General features: G+C 45.3%; 1 protein-coding gene across 40 annotated transcripts in view; it reads right to left on the bottom strand.

The window, feature by feature from the left end:
* Positions 1-25,372, bottom strand: part of FHOD3 (formin homology 2 domain containing 3) — a 482,508-nt gene that overhangs the window by 456,639 nt on the left and 497 nt on the right. The window lies entirely within an intron of this gene.

Here is a 25,372-nt window from a genome sequence, read left to right as displayed (position 1 = left end):
TGAAAGGTAATCTGGTGAGAAGTCCTCTGTCCCTGGGATCAAGTGCTTCACATCACCCAACCACAAGGAAACCCTGGGAATATGGGAAGGGGTGGGTAAAGGCATCCTGATGCCTGATGTGCCTGGGGCTATGACCCCCAAACTAGCAAAGGCCACAGCATTCCAGAAAATGTGCTGCATTTGGTGAGTAAAAGATGCTATTTGAAGCCTCTCCTCAAGATCTGCACTCTTGCCTTATGGATATTCCCATCTAGTGCAGTCTCAAAAACAAAAAACAAAAAAACAAGTGTCTTCTTTGCCCTGGTGTTACGTGGAGGCATTCCCCGTTGCTGGCCTTTGAGTTCCCAACTTCCCCTGTCAGAGACTCCCAGCCCTGACATAACACACAGAGGAGGAGCAGAGGCAGCCGGGTGCCCCCTTTCTGAGTGGGCCAAGCCCTGGGCTAGACATTTCCTGAGTCGAAGCATGTCAGGCTCGCAGCCACCCTCTCAGGCAGGCATGATCATCCCCACCTTACAGATGCAGAAACTGAAGCTCAGGGAGATTGCAAGCGTGTCTGTGGGATTCAAAGGCCATTTTTGAGCTGTTATGCTGCATAAAACAGGCAGCCAAAAGGGCACCCATGAGGGTTACCCTCCAGCCTGAGGGTTGGCAGGTGGCAGTGCCCAGCAGCCACTCCTGGCACTCAACAGACAGCAGTAAGTGTCAGTGGAATGAATGAGTGAGTGAATTAATGCCAGATCTGTTAAGACGAGGATGACCCTATCAGGGAAATGGGGAGGAGAAGGTAGAGGGATGACAAAGCCAGCAAGCACAAAGCAGCCAGGAATGCAAGGAGCTAAGGTGGACAGCAGGTAGGGACAAGACTGGACAGAAAGGACACCACCAGGTCACTAGCAGCTAAGAATGCTTCATGCTTTATGAAGGGGCACAAGGTTCCAGGTGCAGGTGATGAGCAGCAGCAGAAGGAATGACTGGCTGGATCTTGCAGCTCCAACCCACTGTGCCCACCAATCCCCCATGGAACCTGCCAACCCCGGCACCCAAACCTGCTCTTTCTTTTGGGTCCACAGGCTCCAGGATTGCCCCAGCTCCCTACTGGTGTACCTGCTCCTGCCTTACCCCTTCACCCATCCCCACAACAGAAGGGGCCTTACCTGAGATTCAGCAGAAAAGAAAACAGACAACTTACTGCCCTTCTGGAGATCCCCAAGAATGTTCCTCCCCCATAACCCTCTCGAGAGGAGGTGACTGTTCTCTGGCCTGTTCTCCTGGCTCAGTGCACCAAAGGGCCAAAAGGCCCACCTCCAGGCCTCCTGCTGCTCTTCCACTTTCTAGGGCTGTGCCATCCAGCTCTGCCATTCCTCCTCACACCTGACCTCAAGACCTGGCAACTGCTCACAGTCATCCCTCTACTCCAATTTCTCCCACCATCACAGAAGACGCCACCCTTCCAACCCACCCTCCACCTCAGTGGCCTTGCTGTTCCTCAGCCAGAGAGGGTGGTGAGAGGAGTCACGCTCACACTCCATCCCAGCTACCAACCACACAAATTCATACTCCAAACCCACCAAGAGATAGTGTCCTACAGCCAGGTGGCCCTGCCTCTGGCCATTGTCATAGGACAGCAAGGCTTCCCTGTCTCTCGGCATTCCAACAAAGGAGGCATCTGAGAACACAGGGCATCGCCTGCAGCCCCACGCCCTCCTCATGACTCACAGGACTCGGCAGAGTGAATGCAGGAAACAGAAAAGCAAGTCCTCTCCTCTGTAGATGGGAAGTGCCCCCCCTGCATATTCACCACTTGTTTCTCCAGCTGTTACAAATAGCACCACGCACGGAGGGCTCACAGCCCTGGTCACCGCTCCCAAGCACTGGGCAGTCCCCCAACCAGCCACCTGCAAGTCCCCCAAAGGAGTGTCTGCCACTCCCTCTCCCTCACATTCCCTGCACTTCACCCAGTGACTGGCATTTGGTGGGTACTCATTAGTTGATTTAAACCCAGGAGAAAGCAACACTCTATATACTCCAAAAGCACAATACATATTACCGAAGATCAGCAGCAGTCCCATTTGCAGAAAGCTCCAAGCCAGGAGAGAAAAAACAGAAATCACTTTATAAGCCCCATTATCCAGAAGTCATGCAAGCTGAGCTGTGTCCTGAGAAGAAATGGGTCCCTCCCATCTCCCCATTCCTGTCAACCCCCATACACATTACAGAGAGGGGACCCCCATCTCATTATTTACCTGACCACCTTCCTATAGCCCACACATGGGAGCACTGGGCTCAGCAAGCCCACAAGAGCACAGATGGGCCCTGGCCTCAACCTAGATAGACTATGGATGACACCACATCCCACCATGCACCTGGGCAGACACAATCACTGTCACCAGAAGAACGATGCAGAACCACACTGTTGGAAACATTTCTGTGTTCTCATTAAGAATATCTGCAGGTAAGAAAGACTACTGGATTTCCTTATGAAGTGATGCAAAAAAAAAAAAATCACAGGAAATCTCGAGAAGAGGTGGAAGGAAGGAACACTGGAGGTGTGGCCCCATTTTCTCATTTTGCAGATGAGGAAACTGAGGCCGAGGGAGATGGCACTGGTTACCTCCCAACACAGCACATACCTTGCCAATTCATTTTATTTATCATCTCTCCCACTTCAACCTAAGCTCCCTGAAGTTCAGGATTTCTGCCTGTTTTCTTCAGTGTTATTTCTCCAATGCTTAAAAGAATCCAGTGCTTAGCAGGTGCTCAATGAAAATGTGTTGAGTGAACAAAAAAATAAACACTACAGGTAATTACTCAGGTTCAGGTGCAATGCACTTTGAGGGTATCACACTGCTTCTTGACAGGTATTGATTCCAGAAAGATATACCAGGAACCCAGTCTTAAAAAGTGAAGCCCCTGCCAGGCTTTGGTATCAGGATGATGCTGGCCTCATAAAATGAGTTAGGGAGGATTCCCTCTTTTTCTATTGCTTGGAATAGTTTCAGAAGGAATGATGCCAGCTCCTCTTTTTACTCTGGTAGAATTTGGCTGTGAATCCATCTGGTCCTAGACTTCTTTTTGTTGGTAGGCTATTAATTATTGCCTCAATTTCAGAGCCTGTTATTGGTCTATTCAGGGATTCAACTTCTTCCTGGTTTAGTCTTGGGAGGGTGTATGTGTCCAGGAATTTATCCATTTCTTCTAGATTTTCTAGTTTATTTGCATAGAGGTGTTTATAGTATTCTCTGATGGTAGTTTGTATTTCTGTGGGATCGGTGGTGATATCCCCTTTATCATTTTTTATTGCATCCATTTGATTCTTCTCTCTTTTCTTCTTTATTAGTCTTACTAGCAGTCTGTCTATTTTGCTGATCTTTTCCAAAAACCAGCTCCTGGATTCATTGATTTTTTTAAAGGGTTTTTTGTGTCTCTATCTCCTTCAGTTCTGCTCTGATCTTAGTTCTTTCTTGCCTTCTGCTAGCTTTTGAATTTGTTTGCTCTTGCTTCTCTTATTCTATTGTGACATTAGGGTGTCAATTTTAGATCTTTCCTGCTTTCTCTTGTGGGCATTTAGTGCTATAAATTTCCCTCTACATACTGCTTTAAATGTGTCCCAGAGATTCTGGTATGTTATGTCTTTGTCCTCATTGGTTTCAAAGAACACCTTTATTTCTGCCTTCATTTCATTATTTACCCAGTTGTCATTCAGGAGTAGGTTGTTCAGTTCCATGTAGTTGTGTGGGTTTGAGTGAGTTTCTTAATCCTGAGTTCTAATTTGATTGCACTGTGGTCTGAGAGACAGTTTGTCATGATTTCTGTTCTTTTACATTTGCTGAGGAGTGTTTTACTTCCAATTATGTGGTCAATTTTAGAATAAGTGCGATGTGGTGCTGAAAAGAATGTATATTCTGTTGATTTGGGGTGGAGAGTCCTGTAGATGTCTATTAGGTCCGCTTGGCCCAGAGCTGAGTTCAAGTCCTGGATATCATTGCTAATTTTCTGTCTCATTGATCTGTCTAATATTGACAGTGGAGTGTTAAAGTCTCCCATTATTATTTTGTGAAAGTCTAAATCTCTTTGTAGGTCTCTAAGAACTTGCTTTATGAATCTGGGTGCTCCCATATTGGGTGCATATATATTTAGGATAGTTTGCTCTTCTTGTTGAATTGATCCCTTTATCATTATGTAATAGCCTTCTTTGTCTCTTTTGATCTTTGTTGGTTTAAAGTCTGTTTTATCAGAGACTAGGATTGCAATCCCTGCCCTTTATTTATTTATTTTTTGCTTTCCATTTGCTTGGTAGATCTTCTTCCTCCATCCCTTTATTTTGAGCCTATGTGTGTCTTTTCACGTGAGATGGGTCTCCTGAAATCAGCACACCAATGGGTCTTGACTCTTTATCCAATTTTAGGCCAATATCACTGATGAACATCGATGCAAAAATCCTCAATAAAATACTGGCAAACCGAATCCAGCAGCAAATCAAAAAGCTTATCTGCCATGATCAAGTCAGTTTCATCCCTGGAATGCAAGGCTGGTTCAACATACACAAATCAATAAATGTAATCCATCACATAAACAGAACCAACAACAAAAACCACAGGATTATCTCAATAGATACAGAAAAGGCCTTCGACAAAATTCAACAGCCCTTCCTGCTAAAAACTCCCAGTAAACTAGGTATTAATGGAATGTATCTCAAAATAACAAGGGATATTTATGACAAACCCACAGCCAATATCATCCTGAATGGGCAAAAACTAGAAGCATTCCCTTTGAAAACTGGCACAAGACAAGGATGCCCTCTCTCACCACTCCTATTCAACATAGTATTGGAAGTTCTGGCCAGGGCAATCAGGCAAGAGAAAGAAAGAAAGGAATTTCAATTAGGAAAAGAGGAAGTCAAACTGTCTCTGCAGATGACATGATTGTATATTTAGAAAATCCCATCATCTCAGCCCAAAATCTCCTTAAGCTGATAAACAACTTCAGCAAAGTCTCAGGATACAAAATCAATGTGCAAAATTCACAAGCATTCCTATACACCAACAATAGACAAACAGAGAGCCAAATCATGTGTGAACTCCCATTCACAATTACTACAAAGAGAATACAATACCTAGGAATCCAACTTACAAGGGATGTGAAGGACCTCTTCAAGGAGGAGTACAAACCACTGCTCAATGAAATAAAAGAGTACACAAACAAATGGAAGAACATTCCATGCTCATGTATAGGAAGAATCAATATCCTGAAAATGGTTGTACTGCCCAAAGTAATTTATAGATTCAGTGCCATCCCCATCAAGCTACCAAGGACTTTCTTCACAGAATTGGGAAAAAACTACTTTAAATTTCATATGGAACCAAAAAAAGAGCCTGCCTAGCCAAGACAATCCTAAGCAAAAAGAACAAAGCTGGAGGCATCACGCTACCTGACTTCAAACTATACTACAAGGCTATAGTAACCAAAACAGCATGGTACTGGTAACAAAACAGATACATAGACCAATGGAACAGAACAGAGGCCTCAGAAATAACACCACACATCTAGAATCTGATCTTTGACAAACCTGACAAAAACAAGAAATGGGGAAAGGATTCTCTATTTAATAAATGGTGCTGGGAAAACTGGCTAGCCATATGTAGAAAGCTGAAACTGGATCCCTTCCTTATACCTTATACAAAAATTAACTCAAGATGGATTAAAGACTTAAATGTGAGGCCTAAAACCATAAAAATCCTAGAAGAAAACCTAGGCAATACCATTCAGGATATAGGTATGGGCAAAGACTTCATGACTAAAACATCAAAAGCAATGGCAACAAAAGCCAAAATTCACAAATGGGATCTAATTAAACTAAAGAGCTTCTGCACAGCAAAAGAAACTATCAGCAAAGTGCACAGGCAACCTACAGAATGGGAGAAAATTTTTGCAATCTATCCATCTGACAAAGGGCTAATATCCAGAATCTACAAAGAACTTAAACAAAATTTACAAGAAAAAAACAAACAACCCCATCAAAAAGTGGGCAAAGGATATGAACAGATAATTCTCAGAAGAAGACATTTATGCAGCCAACAGACATATGAAAAAATGCTCATCATCACTGGTCATTAGAAAAATGCAAATCAAAACCACAATGCAAATCATAACTCATGCCGGTTAGAATGGCAATCATTAAAAAGTCAGGAAACAACAGATGCTAGAGAGGATGTGGAGAAATAGGAACACTTTTACTCTGTTGGTGGGAGTGTAAATTAGTTCAACCATTGTGGAAGACAGTGTGGCAATTCCTCAAGGATCTAGAACCAGAAATACCATTTGACCCAGTGATCCCATTACTGGGTATATACCCAAAGGATTATAAATCATGCTACTATAAAGACACATGCACATGTATGTTTATTGTGGCACTATTCACAATAGCAAAGACTTGGAACCAACCCAAATGTCCATCAATAATAGACTAGATAAAGAAAATGTGGCACATATACACAATGGAATACTATGCAGCCATAAAAAAGGATGAGTTCATGTCCTTTGCAGGGACATGGATGAAGCTGGAAACCATCATTCTCAGCAAACTATCACAAGGACAGAAAACCAAACACTGCATGTTCTCACTCATAAGTGGGAGCTGAACAATGAGTACACATGGACACAGGGAGGGGAACATCACACACTGGGGCCTGTCAGGGGGTGGGGGGGCTGTGGGAGGGATAGCATTAGGAGAAATACCTAATGTAAATGATGAGTTGATGGGTGCAGCAAACCAACATGGCACATGTATACCTATGTAACAAACCTGCACATTGTGCACATGTACCCCAGAACTTAAAGTATAATATAAAGAAAAAAAAAATGAAGCCCACCCCTAAAAGGAACAGAGCTGCAGAACAGCAGGCGCTGGGGTGGGCTCTTACAGTTTGCCTTATCGGGTCCATCCTCAAGTTACAGATTACTCTGAGCCCTAAATAAACTGATCGGAAACTACTAAAACATTAATAACACCAAAGGCCCTTCAATCAATAATGACCAATCAAAATGACCAAGATATATTTTGGAATATATATAGACAGCTCAAAAGGACAAGAGGTGACCTCGCTATCCATCTGAAGGATTTTAAACCCCAGTGACTCATGCAGTAGAATTTGGGCAATGCCCTTTTTGCTGGTGAACAAATGCTGGTGAAATGTGGTAGACCCTCTAGAGGAGCTCCAGTTTTCTCCCCTACACACCCCAGGAGGCAGAAGCAAAGTACCATCCTGGGCATGCATGGGGCTAAACTTCTCCTTGTCCCCTCACAGATTTCCCCTGCTTTGGCAACCTGACAAATACTGCCTAGAATAATGAAATTTAAACTGTTTAGACTTTGCAGAACTACATATGTTAATTTAATGGAGCTGGTACGTTCTGCTTTAGGGACCAGGTGGGTCAAGGAACTTTTTTTTTTTTTTAATGAGAGCAATGGCTCTCCGAGAAAGTGGGGGAAGAAAAGAGGCTTAAAGATACCAGAGACCTGAGACACAAAGAAATCTCAGGCCCGGGGCCACCCCTCCTTCTCCCCTCCCACTCCCCGAGGATTAGCTCTGCTCTTACTCATGGCTGTCTCAGCCACAGAACGGTGCGTGCAGTGGCAGCAGCGGGCAGAGAGCTGCCACTTCAGGGCCTAGCAAATCACAGCACTCATGAGGGCGCACCAAGCAGGAGTCACAGACACCAATCAGGTAACCAAAATTACATTTTCAAAAGTCGGGTCTGTGAGCAGACATAATGGGGTGTCTGCTTGAGTACTCGGCACTGCTGGGGTTCACTAGGACATCGCAGATCTGGGGTCCTCTCCCCCAGCCTGGTGCAAGGCAGGCTGCCAGAGGAATTCACATGGTGGGCATGTGAGCACACAGGTTCTGGGCTTTGATCTAAGTGCTCCCTCATTGCTGCTGTGAGGCCAGGCCTTTCACCAAAGCACTGTTCACAAACTCTAATGTTACAAGCAATATTCAAAATCTCAAGATGTTCCAGAGCCCCCCAGGACCCCTTAACCCCCACATGCCCTCTGCAGGAGCCCCCCAGTTTCATCCAAAAGGGAACCTGATAAAAACTTCTGTACACTGGGTGGAATAAGAGAATCAAGAGTCTCGGGGTGAGGGTGTCATATCAGAGGGGAAAGACTTTGGTCACAGGGAGCAAATCTGGGATCCAGAGCTCTTGGGTGGCCAAGGAGGCAGGCTGAGGCCAGGAAAGGCCTGGAAATGAAGAGAGACTGAGGTCAATGCCCTAAACATCTCCATGTAAACTAGTTTCTAATGAAACTCACTAAACATAAGCCAGTCACAATTTCCTGCAAAAGCACAGTCCCCACATTATGCACAGGTATCTTTCAAAAGTTCAATATGAATCGACTATGTGGAACTCTGAGTGCATTTTTCATAGAAATAAAGTGATGCCTATTAGGAGAGTAGGCTGAGACCAGGCCAGCCTGACACCATCATGGCCTATCAGTTCCTGGAGACGAGGCCCATGCTTTATTCTTTTCTGATTTCCAAGTGCTCTGCAGAGAACTTGACTTAGAATCAGAACTCACAGAGTTCTGCTCTGTGAGTCAGTGAAAGACTTCCTCGGACGTCAAGCATGATTGCACATTTAACTTCCTTGTGTGTTCCTCAGGAATGCAAGTGCTAACATCCTCGATTTTTAAAGGCACTTGGAGAACCACATAGATCTCCCCCACTTAGGCCTTGACCTAATGTACTCTAATATTCTAAGGAAAGTCAGGATCCCTAGACAAGGAGGCAGAATAGAAACAGAGCTGAAAGATAGACTCTGGTTTTTCATTTGAGGCAGGTCCCCAGGCTGCACGCATTGAAAGTATAAGATGCCCTGATGAGGGGGCTCCTTGGAGGGCCATCTGGAGGCCTTGGCAACTTTAGGACCCTTACTTGCCCTCAGCAAAGAGAAGATAAAACTCATTCAAAAACCAAACATCTAATACTCTAGCCCCTGAACTTCTTAAATATCTGTTCCCCTCCCATTGTTCCTACCACCTCCTCCTCTAAAGCTCTATTCTCTGATGTGACAGAGAAAGCCACATGTACTCGGCTGCATTCCTCCATTACTGCTCACATCACCTCTGTGTGCAATGATCAAAGTGCACCTTTCACACTCTAATTTCTCTAGTGCCACTTGCTGCTTTGCTTGTTTACACCATTTTGCTAATTGATAAAATGGCTGGTGATTTGTATCCCATGGGGATTGAGAAGTGATTCTCACACAGCTCTGTCATAGGCGTTGTCCCTGTGTAAAGTTGTGAAATGAGGGTTTTGAGCCAGGGTGACGTCAGAGCCCAGGATGATGAGGCCATGAGGCAGGGGACGCCAGTACTTTGCCTCACAATTCATCCATAACAGGGCTTTGGGAGGCATAAGAATTAAGAACAAACAAGATATCTAAATGAATGATCTTTTTTGTGGGCAGTGTTTTAAAAAGTGCTTACATTCTGAAGTTCAGAAACTCGAATGACAAATTCTTCTGACAGGCCAGGTGCAGTGGCTCATGCCTGTAGCCCCAGCTACTCAGGAGACTGAGGCTGGAGGATCACTTGAGCCTAGGAGGTCGAGGCTGCAGTGACCATGATCATGCCACCGCACTCCAGCCTGGGCAACAGAGTGCAACTCTGTCTCAAAAAAAAAAAAAAGACAAATTATTCGGACAAAGGATAACTTGCCAAATAAGAAACCTCCTGACTGCCCTGCTAAGGAGAGAGCCAGGTAATTATCTGCTGAATAAAGAATCTAGGTATTTATCACAGAAAAATGAAAACTTAGGTTCACACAAAATCTCTATGCAAATGTTTAGAGCAGCTTTATTCATAATCACCAAAAACCAGAAACAACCCAGGTGTCTTTCAGTGAGTGAATGGATGAACAAACTGTGGGATATCCATACCAGGGGAAACTGCTCTGCAATCAAAAGGCAGGAACTCCTGAAGCACCCAACAACTTGGATCTGAAGGGCACTGTGCAGAGTGAAGAAGCCAGTCTCAAAAGGCTACACACGAAATGATTCTATTCATATAGCATTCCGGAAAAAGCAAAACTACAGGGAAAGAAAACAGATCAGTGGCCTCTGAGAATGCACAACTACAAAAGGGTGGCCCGAGATAATTCTTTAGGTTCCTGGAATTGTTCTGTGTCCTGTTAGTGGTGGCAGTCACAAAAACTTATGCATATATGAAAACTCATAGGACTGTGCACCAAAAATAAAAGTGAATTTTACCAAATATGAAGGTTTTTTTTAAGTTCACAAATTCTTTGGCAATTCTTCCATAAAACAATGATATCTAATTCCCCCTTGCCCTTGAATGAGGGCCAGCCCTGGTGATTCACTTCTAACAAGTAGAGTACAGCCAGAGCATGTGGCTAGATAGGGAGAGCAGCACCCACCTGGACCTCTCACTTTGGAGCCTGGAGCTGCCACATAAGAAGTCCACCTACCCTGAGGACACCATACTAGAGAGACCCTGGGGAGAGACCATTGACATATGAAGAGAGACACCCAAGGAGCTCCCAGCTATTGGCACTTCCCAGCCCAGGCACTGGCCATATGACTGAAGAAATCTGAGATGATACCAGGGCCGGCCATGATCCAGCTGCACCCTCATGACAGACCCTGAGCCAGAACCACCCAAGGAACTGCCTTCAAATTCATGGCCCAAGGAAACTGTGAGAGATAATAAATATGATTGTTTGAAGCCACTACGTTTGGGGTGATTTATTCATAGCCATAGATAACTAATATAGGCACCCACATTTTCTGAGCAATCCCCATGTGACTGACACTTTCTCAAACATTAACTTATTTTCCATTCATTCAATAAATATTTATTGAGCACTTTCCATATGCCATGGATGACACATGGACCAGAGGGAGAAGCAGGTAGACTCCAAGAGGCAGGATAATCAACAGAACGTGATTCTGACAGAGCAGGGATTGCTGCTAGGGAGAGGTTCTCAGTTGGTTTGGGCAACTGGCTGGCAATGCTCCTCGCTGAGGCAGTATGGGTCTGTGGGAAGATGACAAGATCTGATCTAGATGCGGGGCAGGTTCAATGCCTGTTGGGACGTCCAGGACGAGCTGTTCAAAGGGCAGCTGGGTATTTGGCCTCAGAGCCCAGAGAGAGCTGAGCCAGGGGTCAGCTCTAGGGGGTCGTCAGAAAGCCCTCAAAGCCATCCAGGACAAAGAGGGTGACTGTGAGGAGGAGGTGTGGTCTTTGGACAGAAACCTGAGAAAGGCCAACATTCAAACAGCCAGAGGGAGCAGAAGGATTGAGAAGGACTAGAGAGGGCAGGTGAATACCGCACCATCAAACAGAACGGCAAGCATTCCTCAAAGGGGACCATCAGAAACAGCAATTGCTGCTGTGAGATTCTATAAGTCAAGAATGGAAAAGTGTCTACTAGATTTAAAGACAAGTACCTTAGCAAGAGTAGTTTTATTGCAGTAGTGACAGGAACTGGGAGGGTACAGGGCAGGGGGAAGGTAAGACAGTGGGGCTTAGACAGGTCTGGGAGGCTTGAGGGTTGAAGGGTGGAAGAAGGACAGCTGGGCCCAGGGCCAGGGAAGAGGGACTTTCTGGACAAAAGAGGCTTTAGCCCACCTAAATGCTAATGGGAGGATCTCAGAGGGAAGGAGAGGGTGAAGACACAGTGGAAAAGGGCTGGCATTGCCAGAAGAAGGGGCGCACCTGTCCCCCCTCCCCCCATCAGCAAAGAGGGCACAGCAGGGCACGTGGGTGCAGGTGGAGGTTGAGGCAGGCAGGGGCCAGGGCTGCATCTGAGTGGTCTGCTTTGTCTTTGCAGTCAAAGGTGAGGATCCACGTTGGGAGTGGGGACACTGTGGTGGGGGTGCAGGTGTGGGATGGTAAGAGGAGATCTCATAGCACAGCTGCAGGGAAGGGACTACAATGCTGGGAAAGGAACATGGCTCACCATTGCACATGGCACCTGGGGCTGGAGGCCACGCATGCTCCTGTGACATACAAAAAATATGAGGACCTTGTGTTTGTCCACAACAGCCCATGAGGGAGGTGCTACTGTCCGAAGATTTCATTAGAAACACGGAGCTCAGGTCTGTCTGACATGGAGCCCAGCACCATTTTGCCAGCCCTTGGTGTCATTTATTTGTGTTACTCTGTGGACCAGCAGAATCTGACATCAAGCAGACACCCAAGAACATCTGTGAAAGGGAGGAAGGAGAGAAAGCTCCCAGAAAGGGTCACATCGTAAGCCCTCACTGGCTAACACTTGATAATCAGCTCACCAGGAATTAGCAGTGGCTGGGACTATGAACAGCAGGGGTCCCCGCCCTCCCTGCCCAGACACATCCTGAGGCTTGTCCCTGTCTCCCTTCCTCCTCCCATGCTATCTACACAGGTGGCCTTTCAGTGACTCCCCATCCATCCATCTCCTTTCTTCTTTGCCCCAATTCTCTTTCTGTCATCTTTTCTGTAATTATTTTCTTCCTGTCTGTCTTTCCTCTTCCTTTCCTTTTCTGTCATGTTTCTATTACATGAAATGAAAATAATTTTTTATTCAGTTTGTGGTCATTGACAACAGCCTCTGCTCCCCAGTCAACCCCATATATTAGCTTAGCCCCGGGCCCACTGCTGCAGGCCACATCCCTCCAGGGGGCTATCTTCACCCACCCAGAGCCTTGGAGCCTGATCCTGACTCCCATATCCTACCTGTGTCTCACCTGTACCAGGTGCCCTTTACCTCCCTTTCACCAACTGAAACCCCACCCTCCTTCTCCACGAGGCTTTCCAGGCCATGCAGTCCACGTGGATTTTTCCCAAGTTGACATTTCTTTTTTTTTTCTTTTCTTTTTTTTTTTTTTGAGATGGAGTCTCACTCCTGTTGCTCAGGCTGGAGTGCAGTGGCACGATCTCGGTTCACTGCAACCTCCACCTCCCAGGTTCAAGCAATTCTCCTGCCTCAGCCTCCTGAGTAATTGGAATTACGGGCACCCACCACCATGCCTGGCTAATTTTTGTACTTTTTAGTAGAGATGGGGTTTCGCCATGTTGGCCAGGCTGGTCCCAAACTCCTGACCTCAGGTGATCCACCCACCTCAACCTCCTGAAGTGGTGGGATTACAGGTATAAGCCACTGCACCCGGCCCCAAGTTGATATTTCTATAGCCCCACAGGCCTATGTCACACTTTGACATGAGTCATATGCTGCCTTCAGTTGTTACTTCACTTTGCATTATGTTTATGCCTTACTTCCCCAGCCCATCATCATAATAAAGGATATCATTTTCACATTCCTGGGATCAGTAGCATTGATAGAAATAAAGCTTACCACATAGCCAAGCTCTACTCCCCAGCCTGTGTAAAACTAAGCACCAACTTGTTCCATTTAATGTCATGTCAACTCAGCTTACATTTTTCTCTGACTGTGTTCACTCTGCACACTTCTTTGGGTGTCAACACACATCCTTCAGGTTTATCTCTGACAGATGGAGACAGGGAGCCAGGCGGAACAACAGAAGCCATGTGCTGAGTTCATTTTTTCACCCTGTGAGGGGTGATTACAGTGCATTGGTCATGAACCAACTGATTTTCATTTTCTCACCTTTGAGACGGAGGCCCAAATGCCCCACTTGCCCTCTTTCAGGGTCATGAGAGGATCAGCCAGGCTAACCTATGTCCCAGTGCCTAGTAAACTGCACAGACATGCTGTGGTTCTAGTACTGGCGTATTCTGTAATGAATCACTGTCCACAAAAATGCACTCAGTTCTGGGAACAAAAAACCACTCGTATCCTTGACTATTGTTCTGGACAGGACTGCCCAACAGCTCTCCTTTCCCTGCTCCCAGGCACATGGTGCTGCTGAGGTTGGATGGAGGAGCAGCAGGAAGACTGGATAACCTCTCTCACTTCCGGGCACTGGCAGCTCAGACACTAGCCGCTCCCGGACTGCCGGTGTCTGGTGATTCACAGAAGCTGCGGTCAGGAGCCTGCCTGAGTCCTCCTGCAGCCTGAAGCTATGATCTGATATGGGAATGAGTAACAGATCCCTCCAAGGTGAGCACCATCACCTGAAATAAAATCTCCTACGCAGAGCCTCCACGGTTGGCAAAAGGCAGAATCTCCGTGTTTGGCAAGAAGGGCAGTTGGACTCTGCAGCCACCACTCCTTTCTCCCCAGGTCTACCTTCCTCTTGGAATTTCCCATTAATCAGAGCTGCTGCAGCCACTGTGGCCACACTTGCCTCAGGGACCCTCCCCCTCACACAAGCTCACAACGCTCTTCCCCTCGGCTCAGCATGGGCAGGAACGGAAAACAAGGCTTAGGAACAGTACAAGTGAGAGCACCTGGCTCACAAGCTGGTACTTCCCCATCGTGAACTGCAGGCCTTAAGTCTGGCCTGGTCTCCCTCCATAAGAGAAGACCCCAATACCCACCCCACCCACGAGAGCCCCCAGGCATGCCCACACCATCCAGGACAGCATGCCTTCTCTTGCCAACATGGGGCTTCCTTGCAAGCTGTACTTTCCTGCTGGAGGATCTAGCAGGGACTCAGTAGGGAGGCCAGAAACAAGTTTTTGATACATTGAAGAGTTGGTTCTACCACACTCACCTACAGTGTGGGGGAGGAGTTATAACATCCACAAATCATGGCGACAGTTTAGGGATCTGAAGGCTAAGGCTCCACCCTACAGACACTTTCCTATTGCTGCAATCATCATGTATATTAACATATGTTGCACTTTTTCCATTTAACATTCTTGCAAATATTCAAAAAAATATTTGTTGGGGCTTACTATGTAACAGACCCTGTCCTAGGAACTCTGAAATGAAAGGTAAGTTAATGTGCTTCCTGCTACTGGGGCTTTACATCTGGTGGAGGGACGCAGCCACAGGATGAAGTGAGACCCACAGTGTCCTGGGTCCGAAGGTGCTCAGTGCACAGCCCGGGTGTGTCTGAGGGATGGCCAGGAAAGCCTAGAATGAGTTTTGTTCTTCAAAATGGGTAGAGACAATGGGATACATACATGTAATTTATTCACGGTTTTAACAATCATCTCTGAATCCCACCTGGTGGTATTCTGAGTTCAAGTGTCAGTCTTGGAGGTGATACCAGCTGCACAAAGAAAGGAAGAAGTCAGGTTGGAGCTGGGCTTCATAACTTGGCCTGGCTCTTCACCTGCCCCAGATGGATTTAGAGACCATCTTTCCAGCTACCTCCAATGCTTAAAATGAGGGTAACTGCTCCTATCCAAGATGAAATCTTTATCCTTCAACTCAGCAACTAAACATTGAGAATTCGTCTTAAGGAAGTAATCAAATATGAGAAAAAATATTTATTTTTCTGCAGGTATGTATTATAGCACTATCTGTATTTTCCTTATTGGCAACTACCTAAACCTCCAATAGTTCAATCATTCATGCATTCATTTTACAAATATGTATTAAGTACCAAGCATGGACAAATTTAACATTCAAGAAGAAAGAGCACTTTCCCTCATGGAACCTGGGAACAATGGTTACATGGATCATGGTACATACATAGACTGGATTACCTAACTGTCATTAAAGATGATGTGCTCCAAGAATATTTAATGACTTGGGAAAGTATTCAGATATTATTATGAATAGATGTTAAAATTCTGGCAAGACACAAAAGTGTTAAGAGTGGTTCCCTTTGGGTGATGAGAAAAGTGATTTGTATTTCTTCAAAGTGCTTTTCTGTAGTCTCCAAATGTATCCATGTGTTCATTCTGTGACAGGAACAGATGCTTTGTTGTATAAGGGAGAAATCCTTGTTTGTTAGTCTTTCCTTCCCTGAGTCTAGCTTTGTCAGTAGTAACCTCTCTCCAGCAAAGTCATCCTGTGTCCACCCACACACACAGTTTAAGTGGACAGCTGCATGGAACTACAGTGTGAAGATACTTTAGAGTACAAGACACATGCACATCAATAAACACATACTGATCTGAGTAATAAAAACAGTCCACATTACACAGCTTTCTCATGGGCATAAAACAGCTCTTTACTTCTGCCACCACAGGGGAAGGTAACAGGTGTGGCACTTCCAGCAGCCCCCGTAGACACTATCTGCAGGTTGTAGGTCACAGATCACTCCATGACCAAACCCTGGGGTCATGGTTCTTGTGGCTTATCCACCCTATTTCCATCCTCTTGGGCACAACCAATTAATTTTCAAGGGCCATGTCCATCCCCATCTGTGGAGATATGAGGACCATCGCTCCAAATACAAATTAGGGAAAAATGGACTTCTAAAAAATAAAGCTCAGGCCAGGCGCAGTGGCTCATGCCTGTAATCCCAGCACTTTGGGAGGCTGACGCGGGCAGATTACGAGGTCAGGAATTCGAGACCACCCTGGCCAACATGGTGAAACCCCATCTCTACTAAAAATACAAAAATTAGCCAGGCATGGTGGCGCATGCCTGTAATCCCAGCTACTTGGGAGGCTGAGGCAGGGGAATTGCTTGAACCTGGAAAGTGGAGGTTGCAGTGAACCGAGACTGTGCCACTGCATGCCAGCCTGGGCGACAGAGCAAGACTCCGTCTCAGAAAAATAAAAAATAAAGCTCAAAAATAGGAAAGGCTATACTCCAAGGCCGGAGGGCAACTGGTCACTATGATACATGAAGAAGTCAGGAGGTGCTCCTAGCAGAGGCTTTACACAAGGGACTTCTGCAAGGAAATGGCTGGGATGAGCAGACTATTCTTCCTCCCTTCTAACTCTAAATCACGGTTATCCTCTCACTCAGTAAATATTTACTGTACACTCACTATGTGCCAGACGCTGTTCTAGGCTCTTGGGCTGCACCAGTAAACAAAACAGATTTAAAAAAAACAAAAACAAAACAAAAAACTCTGCCTTCATGGAGAAGTGGACCAACTACTCGAGGACTTTGGAGTTTGCCCTGAATGGCAAGAGGGCTAAGGGAGGTTTGGAGCAGAGGAGTGATATGACCTGACTCTTATTTTTTAAATGTCTCTTTCCTCTTTGGCTGGTCACACAAGTTGGTTGCCTAGCCTGTTTCTCTATGTTAAGATCACTGAATGGAACATATCTGGTTCTAACTTTTCCTCTCTTTCCATTAATGGCTATGTTCTAAGGCAAGCAGGAAGCCTCCACCCCACCAGACATCATCAAGACCTACTGTAAACTACAGTGAGTAAGACAGTGCAATGTCAGCACACAAACCCTTAGACAGACAATGGAGCCCAGAGCCCAGAAACACACTCGAGGCTGTGGGAGTGAGGCACCTCAGAGGGGCCACTGTAGACTGTGCTCCGAGCCCTCCACACTCTCCACCACTTGGACACTGCAAATGTCCTCTCTGTTGGCTGCTCTCCCAGGGGCTCCAGCGCCCATGCCCTTCCAGCTGCAAGCACATATGTCATGAAATCAGAGGACCACAGCCACTAAGACTCCCAGAAATAAGTTTCCTCCTTATTGTTCAGAAGGGTTAAAAGCTAGGTTTCTAGGGTGTAGCACCCTTAACAATATTTCATTTTGCTTTCATTTAATCACACTACAGACAGAGGAGGGGGACAGTATTCTATCAACGACTTGTCTCAACCCCAATGTCACCACATGCTCATTTTCATTGACTCTGGGAGGGTTGAAGAAGGTGACCTCAAATCATAAATAAAACCAAACAATTGTTAAAGTGATATAAAATGCAATTGGTATAAACTTCTTTAGTCAAAATTGTGGTCAGTGATTGGCTGCAGGCTGTGTGTGGCTCTGGTTTAGCCAGAGGGACCCTCCTCCTCGTTTTCTCCCCCAAGGACCACCCCACTACTCAGAGTCTCCAGCCTGTCAGTGTCCAGCCATGCAAGCTGGTAGTGTTTGCCCATCAATTCATTTGCTATACACCCCAAGCCACTCTTTGGCTCTGATCAAGCAGTCAGAAGATGCCTTGGTTATCTTCTATTCTGAGAACTTAAAAAAATCTTGGGCTTGTCCCACACACTCTGGTTACAGCTCTGGCATTTCATTCTCTGCTATAAAAATCAGTGCATGATGAGGCACCTCAGCACCACAGGAGTTTCCTTCTTGGTTTTCTCTTCTTCAAGAACGTTAAAGATATTCAAAGAGAAACTAATTTGTTTCATTTTTGCCAAGTCTAGGAATACCTTTCTATATTGAACTGCAAGTTGTTTAACATTTTCCCTTTTTTCAAGTTGATCAAAAATTTTAAGATTTTCTTTTCTAACATTAAACTCTAAACATTTTTCCTTGGAGTCTAACATTTTAACATCTAGATTACAAAACTAACTGGTGAAGAGGAGTTGGATGTTTCCAGTTTGTAAATAGATACAATGTAGATTCCATTTGTTACTATGTGTCTCTAAAAACAGAGAAACTTCTGGGTATATATTTTGCAGATTGGTGATAATTTTTTTTCAAAAAATAATTGATCTTCCTCCCTCTTTAACAGTTAATTCATAAATAAGTTTATCTGCCCATAGAAAATCAATGTTGACTGTAATTATAAGGGTGCCAAGGTATACAACTTACATTTTCATGTACATTAAAGCATCACTGCCATTCACTGTAAACTGAGAACCTCTTCTGAGGCATACTGAAGGCGGACGCAGAGCTGGCTCACTGGGAACTGGACAACACCCCAGTGTGGCTATGCAGGCATGTCATGGGCATCAACAGCCTTAGGAAACTGAGTGCCTTTATATATTGTTATCACTTATTATAGCCTTAGCAACTTCACAGTTTAGTAATAAAAATTTAGGAGCATATACTGAAACCACAGGTATAATATCTCTACCTTAGCATTTCGCTTACTAAGCTAATAGTTTATGTAACTGACAATTGTTTACTTCATCATGGGAATTGATTGAGCCTAGAAAGACACCCTGAACATAAAAAGACAGATGCCCTACACTTGTTTTTCTAAGATTCTAAGGAGAACACAACAATCAGGGTGGGAAGAAAAGTATCATTGGAGGTATGAAAAAAAAAATCCACTGATGGTTAGCTATCTCAGCCATAGAAAACACACTCAGATCATACAGTAACACTTAATGAAAGAGCTCTGATCCCAAGGGGACTATTGGAATTGTAACCTAATTTTTTTAGCTCTTTTATTAAAATATTTCAGTATATGCACAAGTATAGAAAGTAGTATCATGAGCCCTCCCCACATACCTATAATCCAACTTTAACTCACAGTCTATCCTGTTCCATCCATATATTGACTCACCTACTTGTCTCTTATCTGGAATTATTCTGAAGCAAATTCTAGACATCATATAATTTCAGTATGTATCTCTGAAAGCCATAAACTGTTACTTAAACCTAACCACAATACTATTATCACACTTTAAAGTTAATAATTTTAATATTAAACATCACTGCTCACATGTTCAAGTGATCTCAAATATTTATTTTATAATGTATTTGAATCAGCATTCAATCACAGCCACATATTACCTTTGGTTGATGTATCTCTTTAATCTCTTTTCATCTAAGGTTTCCTTCCACCTTTTTCTTTCTTTTGCAATTTATTTGTTGGAGAAACTGTAATTTCTCACAATCTGGATTGCGCTGATTGGCAAAGCTTAACATTCACTGTAACTTAATTTTCCCCATTCTTTCTAACTTAGTTCAGAACAAAGCTCAGAAACAGTCCCCCAGCTCCCCCTTCACCCCCAAAAATCTTCTGATTGTCTCTCTAATGGAGCAGATGCTGACAAACCCAAGACTCTGAAAATGGCCAGCAGAGGAGGACCCAGCTATGCCTCTAAGCCAGCCACAGGCAACAGCAGTGTTATTGAGAGATGAGGTGTGGAGGTTGCCTGGAGCAGGTGATTGCTGTCCTCTGAAGACAGAAAAGTTCCCAAGTGTTCAAAAGTATCATCGTCAGAGAGAGATAAAATATGGAGAGAAAAGGAGGGTGGGGGAGGGCTGTTCCTGAGTTGGCCTCAGCATGTTAATCTGTTTTAAAGTCGACACTATTAAGAACTAACATTTCAGAGTCCAGAGTGGGAGGGCAATGGCAGTCCTGTTGTTTTCCAGAGGGACTCAGGTTGGAGTCCGAGGACAAAACGCATAGACACAGAGCATCAACCCTGGGAGGACTTGCCAGAGCACAACCACTTAAATCACAGCACTGTGACAGGCAGCCGCATGCAAAGGCAATGCAGTCAACCCTACCCCACCCCCATCTGCACAGAGAGCATGGGCTTTGCTGATTTTCTAATAATGGGACAGAGTTAACAATAGGATTTGGAGGAAAAAAAAAGATGACCTTAAATCTTAGCTCCTTCACTTAAACGCAGTATAGCCCTAGGCAACCTGCTTAACCTCCTGTGCCTCAGTTTCCCCATCTGTTAATTGGGGATTCCTCATCTGCCTGCCTGCTAGAGTTGTTGTGAGGATAAATAAAGCTATACATGGAGACCTACAGTGCAGCCTCCAGCATAAGTTCATGACATAGCAGCCCCTTCCTTCCCAAAGATTGATGCCAGTCTATTCCAACCCAGATCGTTGCAAGAGGCCATGACAGCACCTGCTGGATGTCTGGCTAGGTTACCGATATGGTCTGTGGCCATGCATGAAACAAAGCCAACTGACCCATGAAGGGTTCAATCCCATGATCCTGATCTCAATAGCAAGGCTCCAACCAACTGAGCTAATTACAGTGGAGTCAGATTTGATTCTGCTTACATGGAGACACTCTTAGCTGTTCATACAACATTCTTAAAACAGTGTTGTCCTAAGATACTATGACACAACACACTTGCCAAGTTTACTAATGATCTCATCTTTTAAAAATCTTAATGTAATGTAGCAAACAGATGTGTCCCTTAAGAGGATTAAGGTGGAAATTCATTAGTGCAATAATACCAGTGGATTTGTGTTCTAAAACTAACACCAATCAATCAACTTAGTGCACATTCTATCTTAGCACTACTTAGCTTCGAGGGAAACACCAGAGAACTGAACAGCCAGGTCTTCTCCCTCAGGGAAGTTATCTGAGAACAGGGGAGACAGTGAGAACCCCCATGTACTGAGAGCCTGACCTAAATCACCTGTAATCCATGCTGTTCAGACTGCAGTGTGCACAAAAATCACCAGGCCATCTTGGTGAAGCATGTGTTCTGATTCAGCAGGTCGGGGGGGAGGGGCGGTGGCAGCACCTGAGTGTGCATTTCTAATACAGCCCAGGTGATACACAGCTCACACTTGGAGTAGCTAGATTCTATCCTCACTGCAATCAGCTGTTTACAGATGGGATAGCTGAGGCAGCGAGGCAACCACAAAGACAAGGGTAGTGAGAAAGGAATGAACACAGTACACTCAAGGCTAATCCAATGAGAGGATGCACGCTGAAATGTGGACAGGCTGCCTGGAAGGAGAACATTCAGGACACAAAAGTGGAGTCCTTAAGAGCTTAGACCTGCTGTCACATGCCAACTCGGAACTTCTCACTCATGTGACCAGGTGACTTCCTTCCAATCTTGGTCTCTCCTTCTATGAGCTGCAACAGTATCAGTACTTGGCCCTCGAATGGCCATGGGCTTGGTAAGCTGATGTCCCTCTAGGATGGTTCTCAGCTCAGGCAAATGCCTAGGACATGACAGCTATTATAACTCCACTCTGTCCAGCTCACTCCGGGCAACAAAACATTTCCTGAATTAAATCATTAAGTAATAATTGTCATTTTAACATGTACACTAAAAAAGTCACCAGTGTTTTGTAAAAATATTCTACAGTTCCAGTGTTGGCTATCAAAGTGAAAAAAGAATCCTTAGATCATTAAATGCCAGTAGCACAAATCAATCCAAACACATTTTAAGCTTTAAAAGGACTATGATTCTATGAATGCTACTGCAGAGGTTTTTCTAAATTAGAACTCCTATAATTACCATTTTTCTTTTAAAATATTAAGCCAGAAATAAACATTTACTTTTGCAGCATTTCAAAACAAAAACTAAATGTCTTGCTTAGCCCAACCTAGAACATATAACCATCAAAATGAACATCTCCCCAATGAGAATATGGCACCTGATTTGAACTTTTTGTTAGAAAACTAATGTTTATTTAATCATATTCCCTAGAACTACTATAAGCAGATGAAGTTTTTTAAAATAATGTATCAGTTTAAGAAATAAAAAATGATAAAGCATAATAAGCACAATCTCTTATTTTTGCATAAGATGACAATTTTATTAAATGAACAACTTCAACTTCTAATGGAGTCAGCAGACGTGAACTAAGTTACTACATCATTAGGTTAAGAAAAGATGTCCACACTCAAGTTTCAGCCAGGAAAGGCCTGACAGGTTGTCCAGTTCAAAGGTTGCCAGCACAGGAGAATCCCTAGGAGAGCTTTAAAAATTAGGACCCTCTGAGGGGGCCTTCTCAGCGCTGCCTACACAGGTACATTTACTTTAAGAAGATTCACCCAACTGCACACTTATACCCTGTACACTTTTTTGTATATGTGACCACTTCAGTCAAAAGTTTACTCCCAGCCAGGCACGGTGGCTCACACCTGTAATCCCAGAACTTTGGGAGGCCGAGGTGGGCAGATCACTTTGAGCTCAGGAGTTTAAGACCAGCCTGGGTAACATGGTGAAACCCCATGTCTACAAAAAATAAAAAAATTAGCAAGGTGTGGTGGTGCATGCCTATAGTCCCAGCAACACAGGAGGCTGAGGTGGGAGGGATCACCTGAGCCCAGGGAGGTCAAGGTTACAGTGAGCCATGATCACACCACTGCACTCCAGCCTAGGTGACAAGAGTGAGACCCTGTCACAAAAAAGAAAGAGAAAAAAAAAAAGTTGACTCCCTCAGGGGCTTGAATGTGCAGGAGAGCTGAGAGCACTCTGAGTGTCTGCCTGTCCCACGCTCATGCTTCTCCCCTCTTTGTACCACTGAGAATGCGCTCGCTGCACAGAACTCCACTTCTTGTCAATACCAGGCTCTGTGGGACCCGGAAGAAGCACGCCCTGTGGCCCAAAAAGCCTCACTGGTGGCAGGGTCCTGGTATGATAGCTCACCCAGGTCAACAGACCCCTCAATAGCTAATTCACAGCAGAGTTGATAACTATATGTTACCACTTCTGACTATGCACTCTGTGTCAGGCCAGGAATTCTGCCTCAAGGCTTTTACTCATTTATAACATTCACCTGTCCCCAGGCCTAAAAGTGCTTGGCCCTTGAAGGTGACCGGGTGAACCCCTCCAGTTAATGGAAGAGAAGCCCGGGAGGCATGGCTTCTGTCCACAGCCATATACCTGGTTCCCAGAACAGAACAGCACCGACGCCCTGAGTCACACAGGGCTGGTTTGAATCTCAGTTCCCCACTTCTAGCACAAAAAGTGGGTCATTTAGTCACTCTCCCTCACTTTCCTCATCTCTAAAATAGGGACAATCAAAGCCCCTACCTTATGGAGCTGTGTAGTATGAAAGGAAACCATGCATTCAGAGCCTGGGTGGGGCATACACTACATGCCAAGTGCTTGAAACTCCAGCTGTTTCTATCAAGGTGGATCATCCAATTTTAAGATTCTCTGATGGAAATTAGTATCATCTTAACAATATGAATGTATACCCAGGCACATAAATGCCCTGACTTCTGCTTTACAGAACCCTCATCAATAAAGTCGGTTGCTCACTCTGCTGTAGATGGGAAAAACAATGCCAGACATCTAAATATACTGCAGGGGTCTTCGGGCAAAAGATTCTGAGACTGAGGCTGGCTGGCCCCCAAAACAAAGGTCAAGGGTCTCTGTAGAACCACTTCTGGTTCTGTTCATTCCATAAGGGACACCTTAGAAAGTTCTGCAAGCCAGTGCAACTGCTCTGCTGGGGCTTCTAGTTGGGGGTGAGGAGGGGGGCAGTGGAGGAGCATCAGGATTTTCTCCTACCAGACCAGGATCAAGACTGTGGGGCTGTTCCATGGAAACATGAAAACATACTGCAGCTCCCAGCTTGAAAGGTCAACCCATGTATATAAGGTTTGAAATCCAAGGAAACCACTTCAAGGTCACAGGGCCACAATTATGAGCCTTTGGTGGTTTCAACAAAAGATCACTGTAATCAGAGACCGTAGTGGCCTGAATAATCATGATGTAGAAGAAGCTCTTTGAAAACTTTTCACTGAATCAACTAATTGAGAAGAACCAAATAATTTACAAAAGTGATTCTGATCAGCTGAATCCAGAATACATCACTCTGGATGATGACGACCCTCTGTCTCCCAATCAAATGTGCTTTTGTGGCCAGAGAGGTTTCCACGACTGTATCCGTCCTGAACCAACCAGGAGAGAATGAGATGGAAATGCCCCATTCCTTATTCCTGAAAACGTTACTAACTAAGTAGAGGAGGAAAGCACTGATACATTAATAGAGAGGAAACTACCACTGCTAAAGTCCACCAGTTTCCTCACACAACCAACCTCCTCCTCTACTTGCAAAGCAGGTCAACATCATACAGAAATCCGAGGTTTTTTTTTAAATCAATTTTGTTCTTTTGGGCATCAACGCTTATCTCTTCCAAATATGTGTTAATGTCGACCCTCAAGAAATAAATCATCTCCAAGCTTTGATATGAATCCTAGGCAGAAAAAATACTGGGAAGGTAATTTTGCAAGCTGCATTCAATCTGTCTAAGTGAGAGTAAGGGTTTTCCTAGGTAACGAAATGATTAGCTTTCAATACCCACCTCTTTGCAACAAATGCTTTGCAAGAGGCCTATCCTCCTGCAAAAGGTTTTATTTAAATAAAAATAACAAATAAAAAAAAAAAAACCTCTCTAACGGGTAGACTGAGCAGCCATTCTTCCCAGGGGACACTCATTTCGGGCTGCCAAGCTGAGGCTTTGTGAGCGCGCCGCCCCTCCGCGCCCCCGCCCCTCCTCCCACAGCGACTGCTCCTCCGAGGTTCCCAAGGCCACCTGCTTCTCAGAAGAAAAGGGGGATACCCTGAGCGCTATCGCAGTGTGCGGCCGGCGTCCCCGGCGGCGCCCCCGGGGGAAGGAGGAGGCGGTGTCGCCGGGAAGCGTGCTTTGTCGCGAGGGTCGCGTGGCCGCCCGCAGCGGCCCCAGAGGCCTGAGGGAGGTTTTGTCCCGGCCGTCGCTCAGAGCTCTCCTCTCCAAGGGACCTGAGTCTCGCGGCGCTCCGCTTCTTCCCGCGCCCCGCTTGGTGCCCGCCCGAGTGCCGAGGCCGACTGCCCGCGTCCTAGCCCCACCCCGCCCACCCGGCCGAGCTAACGGCGCGGCTCGGGGGAGCCTTCTCCATCCCGCCTCGGACCGGCTCGGCACCTGCTCTGCCACGCCCGCCCCCGGCTCTAGCTGTTCCT

This window comes from Homo sapiens, chromosome 18 (assembly GCF_000001405.40).
Source record: "Homo sapiens chromosome 18, GRCh38.p14 Primary Assembly".
Lineage (NCBI taxonomy): Eukaryota > Metazoa > Chordata > Mammalia > Primates > Hominidae > Homo > Homo sapiens.
Note: the sequence above shows the minus strand (reverse complement) of the source record. Positions and strands in the feature narration are given on the sequence as shown.